The 5295-nt window shown below is 43.5% G+C and overlaps 1 long non-coding RNA gene across 1 annotated transcript, besides 2 other annotated features; it reads left to right on the forward strand.

Moving 5' to 3' along the window:
- Positions 505–1041: an enhancer, noted in NCBI's record as "H3K27ac-H3K4me1 hESC enhancer chr3:72252370-72252906 (GRCh37/hg19 assembly coordinates)". NCBI's record gives its function as "activates a minimal SCP1, AML or CMV promoter by ChIP-STARR-seq in primed H9 embryonic stem cells {active_cell/tissue: H9 hESC(primed)}" and the evidence as "EXISTENCE:reporter gene assay evidence [ECO:0000049][PMID:30033119]".
- Positions 1042–1577: an enhancer, noted in NCBI's record as "H3K27ac-H3K4me1 hESC enhancer chr3:72252907-72253442 (GRCh37/hg19 assembly coordinates)". NCBI's record gives its function as "activates a minimal SCP1, AML or CMV promoter by ChIP-STARR-seq in primed H9 embryonic stem cells {active_cell/tissue: H9 hESC(primed)}" and the evidence as "EXISTENCE:reporter gene assay evidence [ECO:0000049][PMID:30033119]".
- Positions 3303–5001, forward strand: LOC124909393 (uncharacterized). The gene is made up of 2 exons (XR_007095959.1): positions 3303–3595; positions 4424–5001. It is a non-coding gene; the product is annotated as an uncharacterized LOC124909393 (long non-coding RNA).
- Positions 5002–5295: the final 294 nt, after the last annotated feature.

Consider the following 5295-nt stretch of genomic DNA (forward strand, 5'->3'; position numbering starts at 1 on the left):
ATAGTTCATTCCTTTTCATTGCTGAATAGTATTCCTGTCTCTTTGTTTTGATATGTTGCTTTTCTTTTGCATTTTCCAACTTTATTAAAGAATAATTAACATATACTAAATTGCATATAAAATGTGTACAATCTAACCAGTTTTAACATATGCGTATATCCATGATGTGCACACAGACTTTTATGAATCAGAACTATAACAAAACAGTGCAGCTTAGATCATTGAAATATTAGGTTGAATAACTCTTTTATTCAAGTCCTTTCCAGAACTCTGGGTTAGTATTTGCCTTGCATTTGGCAAACCAAAGAATCATTGATTATTTTCCTCCAAAACACATCTGCTCTAAGGAGACTTGCTACCTCTGAGGAAGAACATTTTAGTCTCTCTGCTGCAAAACAAACAAACAAAAAACCTAAAACAAAAAGCAATGCTTATAGTGCATCTCACTACATTTGATATTTCTATGAAAGGACTCTGAACTGCAGTGACATGAACGTAACCCAAACTGGCTCAAGAAGAAAAAAGCAGGGAGACGGGCAGGATTTATTGACTAACATAGATGAAAGCGTGAGGGCTTCAGGCATAGCTGTATCCAGGAGCTAAAACATCATCAGGACTCCGTCTCTCTTCCTCTTTTTCCCTCTCTCTAGAGGCTGCTTTCCTCCCTGTTAGCTTCATTTTCTCCATGTGGTGGACTGTGGCAGAAGCCACTTTGGATGTTTACCTTGGGGGAAATTGAATGCAGGGAATTGGTTACAGAGATGATGGAGCTGCTGAGAAGACAGCATGGCCATGTTGAATAACCCAGGGATTAGTGATAGGAGGAAGGCACTGCCTCCTTTATATCAGAGAGACAAAGAGGGAAGGATGGTGTAACTGGAACCCAGGGGTTTGGGGATACCTGAGAGAAGCTGGAGCCAGAGTAGGGCAGCCTGGTGGGGCACTGGAGCCGCAGAGGAACTGCAGCTGCTGCCGGAGATGCCTCCCAAGGCCAGCAGGGAGAGGGAGGAATAGCCCCGCTTCTCTCTACTTTCACCCTCAGCCTCCCCCAGTGCCTTTCTTGGCCCAACCCAGCTGGAAGCCAGATGGCAAGAATGCCCAGGAAATGCAGGCTGCAGGGGTTAGCCCCAGGGATACCAACAAGACAGAGGAAGAGGAAGGAAGTGGGAGACACAGTCTGAGGGCAGGAGACCCACCCCAGCACAATCCCCTTGGAAAGTGAGCTTGTGAATGGTTCCAACAGAAGTCTGGGAACAGAGTCTGATGTGTACAGGTGTGGTTATCAGGCCCCCTCCAGAGGTAGGAGGCTGGCAGAGGATGGGGAACCAGCAACACAGACACCAAGCAGAGCCGGAGAGACCCAAAGCAAAGTCAAAGTGCTCTTCCCTGACATGGATGTGGGGCTGACAAACACCGGTGTCCACCACATGCTGCTCCAGTTGGACACGTGCTAGAGGCCACACAATTGCAAATGGCCCAGCTCAGGCTGTTTCCACAGAGGAGAACTTCAAGTTTGCTGTGATGCCAAACCATGGCCAAGGTCAAGACCTTACTGATACATTTCTGGTCCCTGGGAAAGCAAGAAGGGGAAGAAAACGATGAAGCAGCACTATTTCTGCCCCTTCCAATGAGGCGCCCTGATTCCCAAGCCTGGAGTTTGCAGCATGAGGCCCAGGGCCCAGGTGGGAAGAGTGGCTTAACATCCAGGCCCCGGGAAATGCAAAAAGCAAATGACTCACTGGTCTTCAATAGCACATTACCTTCTAAAGGAGACACTTTGCAACCCAAATATCGAGGCCAGAGGATTTCCTACGAGTCTTTTATGATCTCTAAAAATTTCAAGAGAGAGAATTGGTGAGCAACTGGGCTCTGTCACTGTCGGGCTCGCTGATTGAACGTGCCTTTAATGGAGTCTCCGGCAGCCATAAAAATGTATGAAAACAGCCTTCTGGCCACAAGCAAGCCTGATAGATGGGGCAGTGACACTCAGGAAAAGCCAGATGGCCTGGGCTTGTCCTCATGCCTGTTGAAGAGGATACATCTTGGTCTCTTAAGATAGAACTTGTGTTTGGAGACACATTAGGCATTCGACATACAATTTCTCCACAGGGGAAGATACATACACACACACACACACACACACACACACACACACACACACACACACATATGCACACACAATCAAAACATTGCATGAGGATAGCTTTACATGACAGTGTACCCCAGTAGTTAAAGGCTTGGGCACCGTAGTGAGTTAAATAGTGTTCCTCTCCCAAAAAAATTTCTGTCCACCCAGGACCACAGAATGTGACCTTATTTGGAAATAGAGTCTCTGTAGATGTCATTTTCCATACCATTTTAAAGTCTGTTTGTTCCACTACACACTGAGGATATTAATAATGATACCCACAGACAAAATGAGCAGAGGATAAAGAGCATGTATGATCATCTAATAAATGCACAAGCTATGTGTCGACTGTTGTTACTACGTATGAGAAAAAAGAGAAAGAGGGAAGGAAGGAGGGAGGAAAAAGGGGAGGAAGGAAGGAAGCTATTAAAAGCTGGCTAATTCACATCATAACCCTGAAATAATAGAAGAGCATCCTAAAAGAGATCTCGCTTAGCAGACAAGTTGCCTTCCTTCTCCATAACCCTCTAATTATAGCACTTCAGAGCCCTCTTAACTTAAATCTCCTAGAGAAGGGTGCACATGCTCATGACATTCTTTCCTGCCTTCTGCTGTGATGAAGCTGCACCGCTAGCTTAGCCCTAGACACCCCCTGTCCCAGTCAGATGGTCACCTGATGGTGCAAGCCGGCCAGAAAGTTCAGGAGTCCAATTCAACACTCAGATATGAAAATGCACAGAACCCCTTTATTCCTGACATGGGCATATGGTACAAATCATTTGGCATGCACTAAATCATTAGAATACTCGTTTATTTTGGAACGTATATGAAGTGAGCAGAATAAGGCATGTACTGTTTTCAAGAGAACTCATTTCCTCTGCTGGGGGCAAAAGACCGCTCTTGGCAAGGTATTCTTTGAAAGTAAATTATCTTCAGAGGAAAGCACGTGCTGTTCTAAAGGAGAACGTAGCTCCCTACAGATTCTCAAGTTCAAGGGGTGTCTGTGTAGGTGCATGCACACATATATGTATTACATGCAACAACAATTAATATATGTATTACATGCAACAATTAATGGTTGGAAAACCATTAATCATATTTATTTAAAATTGAAAAGACATATATATTCAAAATAACAGTTTTAATAAGTTCGAAAGTTTTGCTCACACATAAATAAGAGAAATCCAGAGACAGATAGTTTAGTGATAGTATGGTGGCTCCATGGTGTCATCAGATATGCAGGCTCATGTCTTTATGCTTTGTTAAACTCAAAGTGAGTGTCTTCCTTCTTTAGAGTAACCCTCTGGCCCAAGATGGCTGCTGGAGCCTCAGCTACTACATGTGGATTCCAGGCCAGAAGTAGAGGGAGGGGAAAACAAAGGAGTATACCTTCCGGGGATATCAGCTTTTTTGTATCATCTTCCTGAGGTCCTGTGCATTTCCATAGTCACATATATGCCCCTAACCGTAAGTAAAACTTGAATGTTCTCTTTTTATTGGATGCCTTTCTATCTCAAATAAAATTAAGATTCTGTTACTCAGGAAGCTCGTGGCCTCTGCCGTGACATGAAAAACTAAAAGTAAACTTGACCAAGTCATTTGTGTATGGGATAAGGTCTAGAACAGAGATTGGCTATCATTTGGAGGACAAAATTAATCACATTTCTTTGCCTCTATTTGTAAACTGATTAGACATATTCAAGAGTTTCAATGCAAATTTGAAAACAATTACACATCTAGAGAAATACATGCCTTTGTGGACTTTACCTTATAATAGACTTCCTCAACTTTTGAAATAATGCTCTAATTACACCCCTATTTATTGATATTTATTTACTGGAGGGCAATGGAAGACAAGAACACCATTTCTGTTAAAATCATCTCATTGGTGCCACACCTGTCCCTAGACAGTTTGCATGAAATAGATATAAAGCCATTGAGTCAGTGACAACCAGAAGTACTGGGAATCTTTCACAAAGAATTCAGGAATGGGACCCCCTAATCTTTTCCTGCAGATATAAAGCTATTGAGTCAGTGACAACCAGAAGCACTGGGAATCTTTCATAAGGAATTCGGGAATGGGCCCCCCTAATCTTTTCTTGCTGCTTCTGTGAGGACACAAGTCAGATTTATTAAAGCCAATAGAAAGCAGACCTGTGCATCCTTCTAGAGCAGAGAATAGTTTTGCATTTCACAAAATACTCCACCAAGACAGGATTCCAGAGGCAAGTTCATTTGGAATACACTTAGTTCAGATAACACAGTTTCTTGGTATTTTTCATGTTTTGACTGCAGGTCTTCTCAGGCCTTAAATGTTTGGGCGTGTTGTGAATCTCCAAGACTGAGCCACAAGATGCAGCATTTTCCTAATGACCTCAGGCCCTTTTTGAATGGGCACTTTTGGGAATCAGCGTTCTGCAAAGCATACCTTGGGAAGCCACAGAGAGCTTTTCCCTGAAGCAGGGTTTCTCAACCTGTACGTTGTTGGCATTTGGGGCAGGATAATTCTTAGTTGTGGGCGGCTGTCCTGTGCATTGGAGGGTATTTACCAGCATCCCTGGCCTCTGCTCACCAGATGCCAATAGCAATTCCTCCCCCACCCTGTTGTGACAACCAAAAGTGTCCCCAGGTATTGCCAAATGTTCCCTGCTGGCAAAATGGCCCTCAGATGAGAACCTTTACTCTAGGGAAATTTCTAGAATCAAGAAAATACATTGCAATGATAGGAGAGACCACTCTCTCAGGTATGAATATTCAGCTGACTGTTAGAGTCCTTGGCAATAAGATTGTTATTTTTTAAAAGAGACAGTATTACTGGTGAAGATTCATTTCAAAAATGGAAATGAAAATAAAAGTTGCTGTTTCTATGATAACTAAGTCAAAAACTTATGGAAATTTATGGAACAAGTGCGTAAATTAAACTTGCTTTAAAAATGTGGAGTCCGGATGCGGTGGCTCACGCCTGTAATCCCAGCATTTTGGGAGGCCAAGGTGGGCAGATCACCTGAGGTCAGGAGTTTGAGACCAGCCTGGCCAACATGGTGAAATCTCACCCCTACTAAAAATACAAAAATCATCCAGGTATGGTGGTGGGTGCCTGTAATCCCAGCTACTTGGGAGGCTGAGGCACAAGAATCACTTGAACTGGGGAGGTAGAGTTTGCAGTG

This window comes from Homo sapiens, chromosome 3, assembly GCF_000001405.40.
Source record: "Homo sapiens chromosome 3, GRCh38.p14 Primary Assembly".
NCBI classification, from domain to species: domain Eukaryota; kingdom Metazoa; phylum Chordata; class Mammalia; order Primates; family Hominidae; genus Homo; species Homo sapiens.